The 16,566-nt window shown below is 39.1% G+C and overlaps 1 protein-coding gene across 13 annotated transcripts in view; it reads right to left on the reverse strand.

The window, feature by feature from the left end:
- The window catches only part of SUMF1 (sulfatase modifying factor 1), a 432,784-nt gene that overhangs the window by 413,704 nt on the left and 2,514 nt on the right, over positions 1–16,566 (reverse strand). For 9 of the 13 annotated variants that reach the window (XR_007095664.1, XM_017006254.3, XM_017006252.3 and 6 more), the window contains exons 2-3: positions 4,687–4,860; positions 1,077–1,151 (exon numbers count right to left, since the gene is read on the reverse strand). Coding sequence is in view for 12 of the 13 variants with exons in the window: in XM_017006254.3 (XP_016861743.1) it covers positions 1,077–1,151; positions 4,687–4,860 (249 nt within the window). In the remaining variant the exon portion in view is untranslated. The remainder of the gene's footprint in view (positions 1–1,076; positions 1,152–4,686; positions 4,861–16,566) is intronic. The other 4 variants (XM_017006253.2, XM_047448024.1, XM_047448025.1 and 1 more) reach the window with 1 other exon arrangement.

Here is a 16,566-nt window from a genome sequence, read left to right on the forward strand (position 1 = left end):
CTATATATGATCTGAAAGCAAGTCTTGTTTTACCTCACCGTTTCCCCCACATTTTTCTATATTAAAGAGAAAGCAAACATAAGCCAGGACAGTTTCGTTTTTCTTGCACTGCACTGCTGCTCACGAGAGGACAGAGTGAGGCCCACCCACAGAGATGAAGCGCAGACAGGAGCTAAAAGGTAACTTGCATTAAAAAGGAAGATGAGGGCTGGATTCCTTCGTCTTCAATGCCTCTAGCTTCATCAGCCTCCCTGGAGTGGGCAGACCCCCGTTTCCTTCCCTCTCTCACCATCTCCTATCCCTTCTGCATTCTCTACCCTCTTTGTTTTGTGAACCCTCAACTTCCCAGCTTACCCTCACTCCTTCCCTTGTTCTTATATTTTCAAGAGACATGTAAGCAAGCAAATACTCCAACATACACAAACCTGCTAAAATGTCTGGAACAAGAATCCCAAGTTCCACTCATCACAAAGCTGCTTGTGAAAATCTACTCCACCGTTTGTTTCCATGTCTGAGAAAAACACACCTCATCTGCATTCCCTGGATCCTCCATATGGGAGGGTACACCCCTGCATGTAAAGAACCAGTTCACCACCTCCATTTTTCATGAACATTCAGAACAAAGGGCTCCTTTCTTGAGTGCTACTCTGATCCCATGAATTCAAAAATGTTTAAGGAAGCTCTATCTCCACACCAGCACCTGAGGAGATGGAGACTTTTAGAATAGAATTTTAAAATGTTCTCATTGAGCCCTCCATTCTAGAAATGGCTATAAGTAAATGAAACTCGGAAGTGTCTGGAGCCTACTGAGCTCTACCTAGCAACACTGTGTGTTCCTTGGCACACAAGACAGAAACTCAAGGCAGACCCATCACTTCCTCAGATACCATCTTGTCCCATTTTCCTTAAGATAAGGTGTCCTGGTCCATGGGCCTATTATTTGGGGTCAATCCTCAGCAGGAGAATGGTTAGGTGTTACAGGGAGAGGAAGGTGACACATGTGGTTTGGATTTTTCACCCAAACCCTTTTCAATGAGCCTTAGAGAAATACAGGAGCCTGTTGAAACATTACTTACTGCCTGTTGAATATTGGTCTTCACTTGCTCACTCAACATGCCTTCAAAGACAAAGGAGTCGCCAAACTTCTCAGCCTATAAGGAAGGTAGGAAATAAAAATCCAGAAAAGGTTGTAGTAATGTGTTGCATGTGTGCCCTTTTCTCTCCACACTATTAAAGTGATTCCTCTTGTCCAATTGAACTTGAGTCTTTCTTATGACTTCCCAGAGGACTCAGAAATGACCTAAAAGTCTCTGGCTTCCTCTTAAATTAATGTCACTTACAGAGACCATTTTCGTTTAAGACTCACTTAGCTGATAAGAATGCAGACTGAACAAGATTAGCTTTTGAGAACGTGACTGTTCTTGAAGGAAATACATTTCCCCAAGTATCACAAATGACTCTGGGAAATAGTATTCTGTACGTGTGAGATTACATAATCAATCTTTGTCCTTTGTCCTGAATCTAGCTAAACGAATTAAATAGCACTGTTTGCTCACATTCTGACACATTCTAGTTCCACTAAGGGGTCAAATGTGCTTATAAATCTCAACTGGCCAATTCAAGCATCAAATGGAAATCTGTATTTTAATGATTTTATTTAACATTAGTGTCTCAATTCTTCATCCACCTGATTATTTTTGTTGCATGTAACCCTATTCTGAAAATTAGGTCGTTTGTCCCTTGGTAACCATGACTCTCCTCCTACATTTGTCAGTGTTCTTATTCATCTCCTAAAATATGTGGGCTCTTGTTTCAGCCACTGAAACACTGCTGCTCCCCAGAGCTCTGCCCTTGGCTCTCTGCAATTCTACTACACCAGTGGCTCTCAGGCTTTGTGCAGTTGAGATTATGTAATCAGCTGGTTAAAACTACATATTGCTGCTCCCCAACACCAGAGATTCTCATTCTGGGGGTCTAGGGTGAGGTCAAGGAGTCTGTGTGTGTAAATAGCACACAGCTAGTTGTTCTAATACAAGTAGTTCAAGAGATGCACTTTGAGATACACTGATCGATTCTTGTTGATGGACAACTTTCAATCTCATCAAATTAACTATAGCCAGTACTCCAAATGACTCTCAAATCTCTACCTCTAGTGCTGTCCTGTTCTTACTAGATGAAATTAACTGAGTACTGGATCCTTATATTGCAGATCTTACAAGCATCTCCAACTCCTTTTCCGGAGTGGAGGCTGCCATCTTTTCTTCACCCCTAATCTTCTTCCTGCATTCCCTTGTGACACTGCCATGACTAACTACCTAAGCCATTTAGTTATTCAACAAACATGTATCAAACACCTACCATGTGCTCAGTTTGGGGCTAAATTAGGGGATATAAGGTCAATATCAGATAGCCATGGCCCCTATCCTTATTGTGCTTAAGTGTGGGAGCACAGAAAAAAATCAAGCCAAACAACGAATGGAAGACAATAATTATAACTTTACTACACCTTGTAAGGTAGAGTGTCATGAAAAACTTTCTTGAGAAAGTGACATTTAAGCTGAGATGACTCAAGAATGAGAAGGAGCCAACCATGCAGAAGGGGGATAAGCAAGAGGACTGCGAATTCCAAGCAGAGAGAAAATACGGGCCAAGTTCTTGAGGTGGGAAAGAATGTTGAGTTTTCAAGGAATAGAAACAAAACCAGCAGGGCTAGAACATAGTATACAAGAGGAGCATGATATAAAGTAAAGCTGGAGAGATGGGAAAAGAGTGCCATTAAAAAAACAGAGCATTTTGTCCAAGGCAGTTCTTGGTCCTTTTTGAGCTCCTTGGCAGTATGGTGAAGCTTAAGAACCCCCTTCTCAGAATAAAATGTTTAAATGCATAAAATAAAATCAATAAAAAAATAAAATAAAATAAATAGTATTATGAAGAAAAGTCATTATATCAAAATATTAATAAACAAACCAGTGCTATAGTATTAAATATGCTCTTCATTAATATATTAAATAAGATCTAGTGGCAGGTCTCATAATTATCATATTTCAAAGTGGGGATGAATGCAAACAATATTTCAAGATCTCTGCAACAACAAAAATATGATTAAAAATGTCTGTGATTTCTACTGGTAACAAAGTTAGAGGTACTGCTACTACTGCTGTGGTTTGCTGTTTGCATCATAATTGAAGAAAATACTACATTGTGGCTCGAGGGTAGTAAATAACCAGATATATTAGGTTGCTGCAAAAGTAATCGCGGTCTTTGCCATTAAAAGTAATGACAAAAACCGTAATTACTTTTGTACCAACTTATAACTTTTCCCTATCCATGTTTTTAGATGCCCCAAATTCTGCTTATTCTATCTAATCTTCATGGAGAACCCTGGTTCTGTAGAAGTCTTCTAACTTAAGTAAACTATTGAGGAACCTGAGCTGAGAGTATCTCTGTGAAACCAAAAGGAAAAGGACTTCTGCTTATTACGAATGTGTACAAAAACGGTTTTTTTGTTTTTGTTTTTGAGACAGAGTCTTGCTCTTCTTCCTGGAGGGCAGTGGCCGGATCTCGGCTCACTGCAAGCTCCGCCTCCCGGGTTCATGCTATTCTCCTGCCTCAGCCTCCCAAGTAGCTGGGACTACGGGTGCCCGCCACCATGCCCGGCTAATTTTTTGTACTTTTAGTAGAGACGGGGTTTCACCGTGTTAGCCAGGATGGTCTCGATCGCCTGACCTCGTGATCCACCCACCTCAGCCTCCCAACGTGCTGAGATTACAGGCGTGAGCCACCGCGCCTGGCCCAAAAAAGGTTTCTAACCACTTTATATATTTGAGAAAATTCCAAAGAAATGTGACAATGCAAAACCAAATCTGAAAGTTGTTTTACTTTAAACATTCACTCTCAAATTATTCATTTAATAATAATTTACAAAAAGACATTTGGGGTCTTAAAAAAAAAAAAGAATAGGGACCCCACGAACTGAAGACAAGAGTAAAGGTTTTTCGTGAGAGAAAACTGGAAAGCATATAAAATAAGTATATTTCAGAAACTGACATAAACATTCATAGACTAGAAAGCTTTCCTCTTCCTATTCCCATTTAGGAAAGCATCCACTATCAGAACCTTGCTTTGTGATTCAGTGACCACCAGATGATGTCTGGAACTGCTATAGCACAGCATGTGTGAGTTGTCAAGGTGTTGGAATAAAGACACGAAAATGAAAAGCTGCACTTCTGCATTTATCACTTAAAAAATATGAAATGCTTCTGGAAAAAAACAAACTGCAACTTACTGAGAAGAAAAGTGGTCTTACTTTACATGCCATCTGTTATCTCAAAAAGCCTTAGTGGACAGTGGTATTCTCTGACACATTAAGCATTAACACAATATAGCATAATAGTTATAGCACATGTTCTGAGGTCAAACTGGCCAGGCTGGAATCCCAGCTCTACCACCAACTAGCTGTGTGATGTGGGGCAAATAACTTTTCTTATCCTCAGTATGCCACCTGAAAAATAACCTGCCTCATGGGGTTGCTGTGAGAAATTAAGATGAAATATATACAATAAAATGCTTCACACAGTTCTGCCACAGAATGCAGTAAAAATGGTCAGTCAATCTTAGCTGCTATTAAAGCATTCTTAAAAGTTCTGGAAAAGAACAAGTTCTCCCTCCTTTCCCCAATCCCATTACCTCTGTCAAATAGCCAGTTGAGTTCACAAACTTCTCAAATTCAGTATTACTGACTTCATAGGCATCCATGTAAAAGGCATCAATAGTAACTCTCCTCGCAGGTGCTTCCCCATCCTGCTTTATCTGAGGATCATCTGTGCCCATTGTAAATACTCCAGCAGGGATGGGGACCATCTACAATGAAAGGTGAAACACAGGAAGTCATGCATCACAGCCAAGGTGTACCTGTGTAGGGGTAAAGTTCCTAGCACCCAGGAAGCACGCAAGTTTGTAAATCTTCACCACAGTAATAACTGTAAAATTCGGAAAAATCTCTCTATACCCCAAAGAAGGTGAATCACGAGTCTCAAAAAGAAGTGAAAATTCTTTAAGAAGGTAATCTCCTTAATCAAACCACTACTTGATACAAATCTGTACCTGCACTGGAAACAGGTCTGGAATAACAGTCACCAAGCCGCTAACGGCTAGAATGCAGAGGTAGCGAGAATATCCCACTTTTCTTTTTTTTTTGAGACAGGTTCTCACTCTTTTGCCCAGGCTGGGGTGCAGTGGCATGATCAGGGCTCACTACAGCATTGACTTCCCAGACTCAAGCGATTCCCCCAACTCAGTCTCTCAAACAGCTGGAGTACAGACATGTGCCACCATGCCCAACTAATTTTTTTTTTTTTTTTTGAGACGGAGTCTTGCTCTGTCGCCCCAGGCTGGAGTACAGTGGCACAATCACGGCTCACTGCAACCTCCACCTCCCGGGTCCAAGTGATTCTCCTGCCTCAGCCTCCTGAGTAGCTGGGATTACAGGCGCCCACCACCATGCCCGGCTAATTTTTGTATTTTTAGCAGAGACAGGTTTTCACCAAGTTGGCCAGGCTGGTCTTGAACTCCTGACCTCAGGTGATCCACCCGCCTCGGCCTCCCAAAGTGCTAGGATTACAGGTGTGAGCCACTGCGCCCGGCCAAGCTGATTTTTTTTTTAAGTGATGAGGTCTCACTATGTTGCCAAGGTTGGTCTGCAACTCCTGCGCTCAAGTGATCCTCCCACCTCGGCCTTCCAAACTGCTGGGATTATGAGCCATTGTGCCCAGCCCCACTTTTTTCTTTATACATTTTTTATTCGCATATGCTTTTGTTTCTTTTGAATTATTTTTAAAAGCACATGTAAAAATGCAATCTATAATATCTTTAAATAACCACTGCATGAATTTTGGCCTCCAACAATCATGAAAAAGGCTTACCTCACTAAAATAGAAAGTTTTAAAGTTTACTAAGGGGCTGTTTGTATAATTCCTTATAAAAACCCTAATTGCAACTACTTTGTTCCTATCTACCTTCCCACATGAACTCTAAACTCCAAGAAGACAGCAATTGGGGCTGCCTTATTCACAGCTCTATTCCCAACACTGAGCACAGGATCTGAGGATGACACTGAAAATTTTCAGTTAAAAAATGCAGGTCCATGCTCAACATCATGAGTCATTAGGGAAATGCAAATCAAAACTATAATGAGGTTCCACTTCATGATCACTAGCATGGCTATAACAAAAAAGACACAACAACAAGTGCTGATGAGGATGTGAAGAAATTGGAACCCTCACATATTGCTGGTAGGAATGTAAAATAGTTCAGCTGCTTTGGAAAACAGTCTGGCAGTTTCTCAAAAAGCTAAACGAAGAGTTATATGACCCTGCAGTTCTCCTAGGTATATACCCAAGAGAAATAAAAACATATGTCCATGTAAAAACTTGTACAAAAACATTCATAGCAGCATTATTCATAATAGCCAAAAAGCAGAAACAATCCAAATGTATATCAGCTGATGAATAAGTAAACAAAATTTGGTATATCTATAAAATGGAATAATATTCAGACATAAATAAGTATTGGTTCATGCTACAACATGCGTGAACCTTGAAAATACTATATTAAGTGAAAGAATCCAATCACAAAGGGCCACATATTGTATGAATCTATTCATATGAAATGTCCAGAATAGGCAAATCCAAAGAGACACAAAGTAGATTAGTGGTTGCCAGAGGCTAGGGGGAGGCAGGAATGGGGAATGATTGCTAATGGGCATAGAGTTTCTTCTTGAGATGATGAAGTATTCTGGAATTAGGCAGTGATAGTTGTAACACCTCATAACTATATTAAAAACCACTGAATTGTACATGTTGAAAGAGTGTATTGCATTCTATATGAATTCTATCTCAACTTTTTTCAAAAACCACAGGCCTTCAACCATACCATCTGTCAGAAATACACTCTTTACAGACACAATGTCTTATTTTCAAATCATTTGAGTGAGCCAATTAATAGACTCCTCAGCAGCTTAGGAATTGTCAAGTTCCTCATCTATAAACAAGGGTTCAATATCACAGAATAAAACGGATCATAAGAAACTACTTATAAACAATTATATATCTACAAATTTGATAACCTTGAAAAAAATGAATAAATTCCTAGAAACATACAGCCTACCCAGACTGAATCAAGAAAAAGTAGAAAATCTGAACAGACTGATAACAAATAAGGAAACTGAATAAATAATTTTAAAAATTGGCCAGGTGCAGTGGCTCACACCTGTAATCCTAGCACTTTGGGAGGCCGAGGCAGGTGGATCACCTGAGGTCAAGAATTTCAGGCCAGCCTGGCCAACACGGTGAAACCCCGTCTCTACTAAAAATACAAAAAATTAGCCGGGTGTTGTGGCACACGCCTGTAATCCCAGCCACTTGGGAGGCTGAGGCAGGAGAATCACTGGAACCCAGGAGGTGGAGGTTGCAGTGAGCTGAGATTGCACCACTGTACTCCAGCCTGGGCGACACAGCAAGACTCCGTTTCAAATAATAATAATAATAATAATAATTTTCCATCAAGAAAAGCCCAGAACCAGATGGCTTCATGGCAGAATTCTAATTTAAAGAAGAACTAATACCAATCCTTCTCAAATTCTTCCATAAAATTGAAGAAGAGGAAACACTTCCAAACTCATTTTATGATACCAGCATTACACTGACACCAAAGCCAGACAAGAATACTACTAGAAGAAAAAAAAATACAGGCCAATATCCCTAATGAACATAGATGCAAACATTCTAACAAAATACTAGCAAAGTGAATTCAACAGCACATTAAAGGGATCATATACCAAAATTAAGTGGGGTTTATCCCTAGGATCAAAGGATGATTCAACATATGCAAACTACAAATGTGATATACCATGTTAGCAGAATGAAGGACAAAACCAAATGTTCACCTCAATATATGCAAAGGCATTGATAAAATTCAACATCTTTTCATGAGAAAAACTCTTGACAAGTTAGGCATTGAAGGAATGTACCTTAACATGAGTCATATATGAAAAGCCCACAGCTAACATTATACTCAATGGGGAAAAATGGAAACCTTTGCCTGTTAGATTCAGAACAAGCCAAGGATGCATACTCTTGCCACTTCTATTCCATGTAATACCGGACATACTAGACAGAGCAATTAGGCAAGAGAAAGAAAGAAACAGCATCCAAGCTGGAAACAAAGACGTTATGTTGTCCCTGACTGTAGATGCCATGTTTTTCTTTGTTTTTTTTTTTTTTTGAGACGGAGTCTTACTCTGTTGCCCAGGCTGGAGTGCAGTAGCACGATCTCGGCTCACTGCAAACTCTGCCTCCTGGGCTCATGCCATTCTCCTGCCTCAGCCTCCTGAGTAGCTGGGAGTACAGGCACCCGCCACCACACCAGGCTAATATATATATATATATACGTGTATATATATATATGTGTGTGTATATATATATATACGTGTATATATATATGTGTGTATATATATATACGTATATATATACATATATATACGTGTGTATATATACACACATATATACGTGTGTGTGTATATATACACATATATACGTGTGTGTGTATATATACGTGTATATATATACGTGTGTGTGTATATATACGTGTATATATATACGTGTGTGTATATATATGTGTGTGTATATCTATATGTGTGTGTATATATATGTGTGTGTATATCTATATACGTGTGTGTGTATATATATACGTGTGTGTACATATATACGTGTGTGTATATATATACGTGTGTGTATATATATATACGTGTGTGTATATATATACGTGTGTGTACATATATATACGTGTGTGTGTATATATATATACGTGTGTGTATATATATATATATACGTGTGTGTATATATATATATTTTTTTTGTTTTGTTTTGTTTTTTTTAGTAGAGACAGGGTTTCACCATGTTAGCCAGGATGGTCTCAATCTCCTGACCTCAGGTGATCCACCCACCTCAGCCTCCCAAAGTGCTGGGATTACAGGCATGAGTTACCACACCCAGCCAGCATTTCTTTATACTAATGACAAACTATCTGAAAAAGATATTAAGAAATTAATCCCAGGCCAGGATTCAATGTAATTTCTATCAAATGTAATTCCTATCAAATGTAATTCCTATCAAAATTCTAATGTCATTTTTCAAGGAAATAGAAAAAAAAATCCTAAAATTTGTACAGCACAACAAAAGACCCCAAAGAGCGAAAGCAATTTTGAGCAAAAAGAACAAAGGTGGAGTACCACACTATCTGACTTCAAAATATACTACAAACCTAATCAAATGGCATGGTACTGGCATAAAAGCTAACACAAAAACCAATGGAACAGGATAGAGAGTCCAGAAATAAACTCATGCATTTACCATCATCTGATTTTCAACAAAGGCACCAAGAACACACAATGGAGAAAGGACAATCTTTCAATAAACGGTATTAGGAAAACTGAATATCCACATGTAGAAGAATGAAATTAGACCCTTATCTCACAGCATATACAAAAATCAACTCAAACTGTATTAAAGACTTAAATGTACAGTCTGAAACTGTAAAACTACTAGAAGAAAACATTGGGAAAAGAAGCTCCATGACACAGGCCTGGCAAAGATTTCTTGGACTTGACCCCAAAAGCACAGGCAACAAAAGCAAAAATAAACAAATAGGATTGTATCAAACCAAAAGGCTTCTGTATGGCAAAGGAAACAACAGAGTGAAGAGATATCCCAGAATGAGTGAAAATCTTTGCAAACCATGCATCTTATATGGAGTTAATATTCAAAATATATAAGGAATTCAAATCAATAGCAAGAAAACAAAGAACTCAATTTAAAAATGGGCAAAGGACCCGAATAGACATTGCTCAAAAGACATACAAATGGCCAACAGATATAAGAAAAAATGCTCTTCACAACTAATTACCAGGAAAATGCAAATTAAAACCACAATGGGCTATCTCCTCACACCTGTTAGAATAGCTATCATCAAAAAGATGAAAGATAACAAGTGTTGGAGAAGATGTAGAGAAAAAGGAACTCTACTGCAGTTGGTGAGAATGTAAATTAATACAGTGATTATGGAAAACAATATGGAGGTTCCTCAGAAATCTGCAAACAGAATTACCATATGATCCAGCTATCCCACTTCTGGGTATATGGCCAAAGGAAATAAAACCAGTATGCTGAAAAAATATCTACACTCCCAAATTCATGGCAGCATTATTCACAATAGCTAAGATACAGAAGCAACCTAGATGTCCCTTATCATATAAATGGATAAAGAAAATGTTTATATATACATATATATATAAATGTCAGAATACTTTTTAGCCTTAAAAAGAAAACTCGGCCAGGTGCGGAGGCTCACGCCTGTAATCCCAGCACTTTGGGAGGCCGAGGCAAGGGGATCATGAGGTCAGGAGATCAAGACCATCCTGGCTAACACGGTGAAATCCCGTCTCCACTAAAAATACAAAAACTTAGCCAGGCGTTGGTGGCGGGCGCCTGTAGTCCCAGCTACTCCGGAGGCTGAGGCAGGAGAATGGCGTGAACCTGGGAGGCGGAGCTTGCAGCGAGCCGAGATGGAGCCACTGCACTCCAGCCTGGGCAACAGAGCTAGATTCCGTCTCAAGAGAAAAAAAAAGAAGAAAACTCTGTCATTTATGACAGCATGGATGAACCTAGTGGACAGTATGCTATGTGAAATGAGCCAAGCACAAAATGACAAATGCCTTGATGATCTCACTCATATGTGAAATCTAAAAAAGTTGAACTAATTGAAGTAGAATGGTGGTTATCAGAGGCTGGGGGAGAGGGGAAGATGGGGAAAGGAAAGATGTTGATCAGACGGTACAAAATTTCAGTTAGATAGAAGAAATTAGCTTTAGTGATGTATTGCACAGAGTGGTGACTATAATAAGTAATGCATTATATATTTCGCAATTATTAAAAAATAGATTTTAAATGTTTCCACCACACAAAAAATATAAGTATGTGAGCTGATGGATTTGTTAATTAGCTTGATTTACTCATTCCACAATGTAAACATATATCAAAACATCACGTTGTACCCCACAAATTATTATAAAATTATTTGTCAATTAAAAATAAAATTTTAAAAAACAAGGGCTCAAATTAGAAAGGGGAAAAAAAAGAAGTCAAGGAGAGATGGACTAGTTGGAAAAAAAGAGAGTCACTTAGCAATACGGGCAGAAGCATTAGAAAAATAACATCAGAAGAAACAGAAATTAGGAATCCACAGTCATTGATTCTACTTTCCATTTCTACTGGCTTTCCTTGCTGGTGGCTGCTTTGATTCTATGCGTGTACTTCCCAATAAAAATGGTGCTGTTTTCATTTATGATAAATTAGTAATAAATGTGTTTTTATTTGTCTAATGTATTACTACTATCCCAAGAAATCAACCTTGACTACTCACATCCCCTACTCCCAATATTACACAGGCCACCTAGTCTCACTAGATTTCCTAAATATGTATCTCTCTAATCTCTCCCTCTTTTCTACCCCCAGATAACTGCAGAACCCTTGTAATTGGTGTTCCTGTCTTCAGTCTCCTTTCACATCCCCACCTGCTTCCAAGTCATCTATCTTCCATTCAATAATTCATTCAACAAATATTTAAGCCCCTACTAATCCTTCTGAAAATGTTAGTCTACTGTACCCAATGCAATTTTCCAACTGAAAAGGGCTGGAAACAATCTAAATGTCCATCAATAGCAGGCTCATTTTAAGTAAATTGTGGGCCTTCAATAAAATGGAAAATTAAGCAGCCATAGGAAAGAAAAAAGAAGAGGGGGATAAAAAAGGATGCTTTTGATATATTGATATGGAAAGATCTCACCATGATGAGCTACAAGAACAAAGCAAGGTGCACAAATGCTAAGTATGGTATGCTGTCATTAGCGTGAAAGTAGGTTGAGGGATACAGGTACACTATTTTTGTATTTACTTATATTTGCAGAACATAGCTCTGAGGAAATATATAAGAAATGCATGCAGTGGTTGTCTGAGGGGAAAGTTACTGGGTAAATGAGAAATTGTTCACTATATACTCTTCTATATGTTTTTAAATTTTTAAACCACGTAAATATACTACCTGTTTTAAAAAATAAAGTGTCAATCTGACCATACTACTTTCCTACTTAAAACTGTCAGGAATTCCTATCGCCTTTCAGAATAACATATATAAACATCAGAGCTCATCTCTCACACTCTCTCTTGCCCTGTCTTTCACCCGCATTTCCATAAACCACTTTGTCTCTTGGTAAATATTGTCATGGTTCAAGGATCAGCTCCTCCAGGAGGCCTTTCCTGCCTGCATATCCCTCTAGCTCATGTGCCCTCACACACACAGTGTGTGTGTGTGTGTGTGTGTGTGAGAGTGTGTGTGTGTATATATATACATATATATATATATATATTTTTTAAGAGATGGAGTCCCACTCTGTCACCCCACGCTGGAGTGCAGAGGCGTGATCACAGCTCACAGCACCCTTGATCGTCTGGTCTCAAGCAACTCTCCCACCTCAGCCTCTACGCAGCTGGCACTACAGGTGAACACCAACACACCCTGCTAATTTTTTTTTTTAGTAGACACGAGGTCTTGTTATGTTGCCCAGGCTAGTCTCCAACTTCTGAGTTCAAGTGATACTCCTGCTTCAGCCTCCCAAAGTGCTGGGCTTACAGGCATGAGCCACCGCATCCCACCCAAAGTATCTTAATTCTGTGTTTTCATCTTCCCTAGAACCTAGGCTCTTTGAGGACCAGAAATGAATCTTTTATTTCTATATCCCCACTGCCTAGCATGGTGCATGGTCCACAGCAGACACAAAAATCTTTACCAATTGAATGAGGTCATGACTGTAATGAGGAATTTATCATTTGAATTATGCATAATTATAAAAATGCTATTTAATTTATAACAGTTCTAGACATGCATAACATGTCAACATCACAGTGAAACCTGTCTAACAGATGTAGGTCAAGGACCGAACTAGGTTGTCCATTATTCTCACTATACTCTAAGTGCTGGGACACAAGATAACCCAGTCCTAAAAGGAGAAATCAACATTTTAAGCAGCTCTACAAAGAAGTAGAAAAATTGAAGACATCAGACAAAAGTTTCAAGAGCAGTCTTAAAATGATTAAGAGGCTCTAATAAGAGATTTCATAAAAGACTTAAAGAAAAAGCTTTCCTGTGGCAAATACTTCCTGTTAGGAGAACAGTTGCTCATCCCTCAGCTCAAAGGACCACAGGAAGCTGTGCCCATTGTACCTAATGAACTTTTACAATTATCTAACTTTTCTCATCTTCTTCTCCCTCAAGGTGAGTACCAACAATGCTAATGCAATCATGACTTCCATGTGAACTTCCGGCCGAGTTTTTTTTTTTTCCTTCTTTCATTAACCATCAGAGATAGCCAGTGCTGAATAAGCCAAGTTTCCATTCTGGAGACTATAGATAAAAATAGCCTGGATCACTCTGAGTGGATCATAATTTCTCATTTATACTAATGAAATAAAGTTTTCTGTCCTACAAATGTCAAATGTCATTCAAGTGAAAACCAGAGAACCAAGTGTCTCACTCTGTAGGATCCAAAGCCACATAAAAAGGACCATTTTAGTCAACTCTTCACTGAAGGTTCAAATTCAAACAATCCATATCTCCTCCAATCTGAAGGTGAGATAACCCCTTCCCTGCCACACCACAGCTTCTGCCACTGCCACTCAAGCCAGAAGCATAAGTGAAGTAAAGAATGACTCTATTATTCATTGGAATAACAGAACCATATGTGGGCTACACACTTAGGCCATGTGCAGTGGGCACTGCTATTTTGGTCCATCCGGCACCCAATCCCTCTACTTCTTGTAAAATACTGAAGTTCCTTTCCAAAACCATTTCTTAAGCTTTCTAAGTGGCCCAGGGGTACTGGATGACTCTATCCTACTTCCCAACCCCCACCAAGCCTGGCCAACCATAGCATTCTTTTGACCACGGAGATGTAATTAGGGATAGGCCCAAGACCCAATCAAAGTTCATCTTTGAACTTTTGCTGGAGCTACCAGGAAAGAACTTTTTCTCTTCTAGTTATCTTATCAGTAGGAGAAGGGACATTACCTGACAATGGAGCCGACTATGCAGAAGAGCCAAGAGATAGCCAAAGAGAAAGGCCTTGGAGATGCTGCCTGAGGCCCTGTATCCAGGTGTGTCTGGGGCCATATTTACTCTTGAACTTCCCAACTAGGGGAGCTATAAATGTCCCTTCCAGTTTTTTCCTGCTTAAGCCAGTCTTGTCTTTTTTTCACTTGCTACCGTAAGATTTTTGTCTTGTACACAAAAATAGAATCAGCTCATACGTAACTTTTTTGTGTAACTTCTCCTTTTCCTTCTTTCCTCTCCTCAACCTTAACATTAAAAGCTAAAGGCTCTTGTTCTGAGTCCCCTCTAATAAAAAATAAAATAAAATAAGCTAAAGGTTCATGAGAAAGCTGGGTGAATAAGAGAAGCATGCTCTCTGGATCTGTCCACAAACTCCTGCCTTATCTATCTATACAGGGCTTATTTATCTATACCATTCTGTCACCCTCCTGCCTCTACAGACAGACACTAATCATAGATGAAATGACATTCAAAGTTTCTTGCAGTTCTGAGCTATATGATTCCTTTAAGCCTCAGTTGCCTCATCTGTAAAGTGGGAGATGATCTCTCTCACAGGATTCTTAGGAGGATGAATACAGCAAAAGAATACTTTACAAATGTTTCTTGAAAAAGTATGTGACCTTCTCTATTCCCAAGGCAGTTTCTCAATACTGTATCCACCAAAAAAGGAAACACAGGTCATTCAAGAAATTATTACAGAATGCCTAAAATGTATAAGGCACGTGGGGGATATAGAGATTAAAACATCTAAAAATGCTTCCAATGTAGAATATCAGACAACTACAAAACTAGCACTACATTAGGGCTGGGCGCGGTGGCTCACGCCTGTAATCCCAGCACTTTGGGAGGCAGAGGCAGGTGGATCACGAAGTCAAAAGATCGAGACAATCCTGGCCAACGTGGTAAAACCCCGTCTCTACTAAAAATACAAAAATTGGCCAGGCGTGGTGGCAGGTGCCTGTAGTCCCAGCTACTTGGGAGGCTGAGGCAGGAGAATCATTTGAACCCAGTAGGCAGAGGTTGCAATGAGCCGAGATTGCACCACTGCACTCCAGCCTGGGTGACAGAGCGAGACTCCGTCTCAAAAACAAAACAAAACAAAACAAAAAAACACTAGCACCATATTGAAGAAAATATACAAGTTGTCATCAAACAACAACAAAATAAGCTATGGGAACTGAGAGGATAGAAAAACTACTTCTTTGTAGGAGGTGGAAAGGTTTCATGGAAGAGACGGCATTCGATTGTGCCTCATTGCCCAGGGAAGCATTACCAGTCAGAAACCTCCTCAGACAGGAAATCAAGACTGACTTTATCCATATGTACAGACATGCCACCTACAATCTTAGCATCCCATGATCCTAAATGCCTTTCAAATAACTCTTCTAAAAGATAAAAGCAGACTAAAACATTTTGCTTCCTTGTTACAAAATCATAACCCACGCAGAAAACTATTAGGATAATTTTCTCAATGAGAATCATATTTTTATAACCAGAGGGAATACACATTAAATTTTTAAACATCTATATTGTTTCCCAGACAATTCTAATCGCCATAACTTTCTAGTGAAACTGAAAATTTCTTGAGGGCAAAGCCCAGTGTTATTTCTCTGTGCCCCTCACCTTGCCACACACACTCATTGTATGAATACACAAAAACAAAAAAAGACTCATCTAAAAAGTGTTACATTAAAAAGTGTGAACATGTCACTCCCAGATCTTAAATCACTTATGTTTCCCAGCACACACCACGCATTTCCACAATGTGCCATGTGTTGATACTATTCTCCTTCTTGGAATGTCCTTGAATCTGGAATTCCATTCCCAGCTCCGAAAAATATTTCCTCCAAGGCCTAGCTCAAATGTGGCCTTTTTTTTTTTGAGGCACTACTCGACTTGTCCATGAAGAATTAATTCTTTCTTCCTCTCCAGGTACTCTGGACATATCCCTCCTATAGTATTCTCACTATAGAAAAATGATACTTATGTGTGTGTCTGTGTGTGTTTGTGTGTGTGTGTGTGTGTGAGAGAGAGAGAAACACCTACCAGAGTGTAAATGCCATGTGGGTAGTGTATGGGTCTTTTTCTGTATGCCCAGCACATAGGATGAATCTTACATAACAAGTGTTATATAGTAATGTGCCAAATAAACATTTGTTTAATTAAACCAAATAAACAGAAAACAAAGAGGGGAAAAAAGGCAGAAACACCACTATGCTCATTTACTTCTCCTGAAATATTGGAGTTCCTGAATTTAGAATAAATGGTAAAGTGTCAGAATTAGACCAAAGTCATCTGCACATGAACTAAAACATTTGAAACCAAGGAAAATAGAGAGATTAAGAACAG

Source organism: Homo sapiens, chromosome 3, assembly GCF_000001405.40.
Source record: "Homo sapiens chromosome 3, GRCh38.p14 Primary Assembly".
Taxonomy (NCBI): Eukaryota; Metazoa; Chordata; class Mammalia; order Primates; family Hominidae; genus Homo; species Homo sapiens.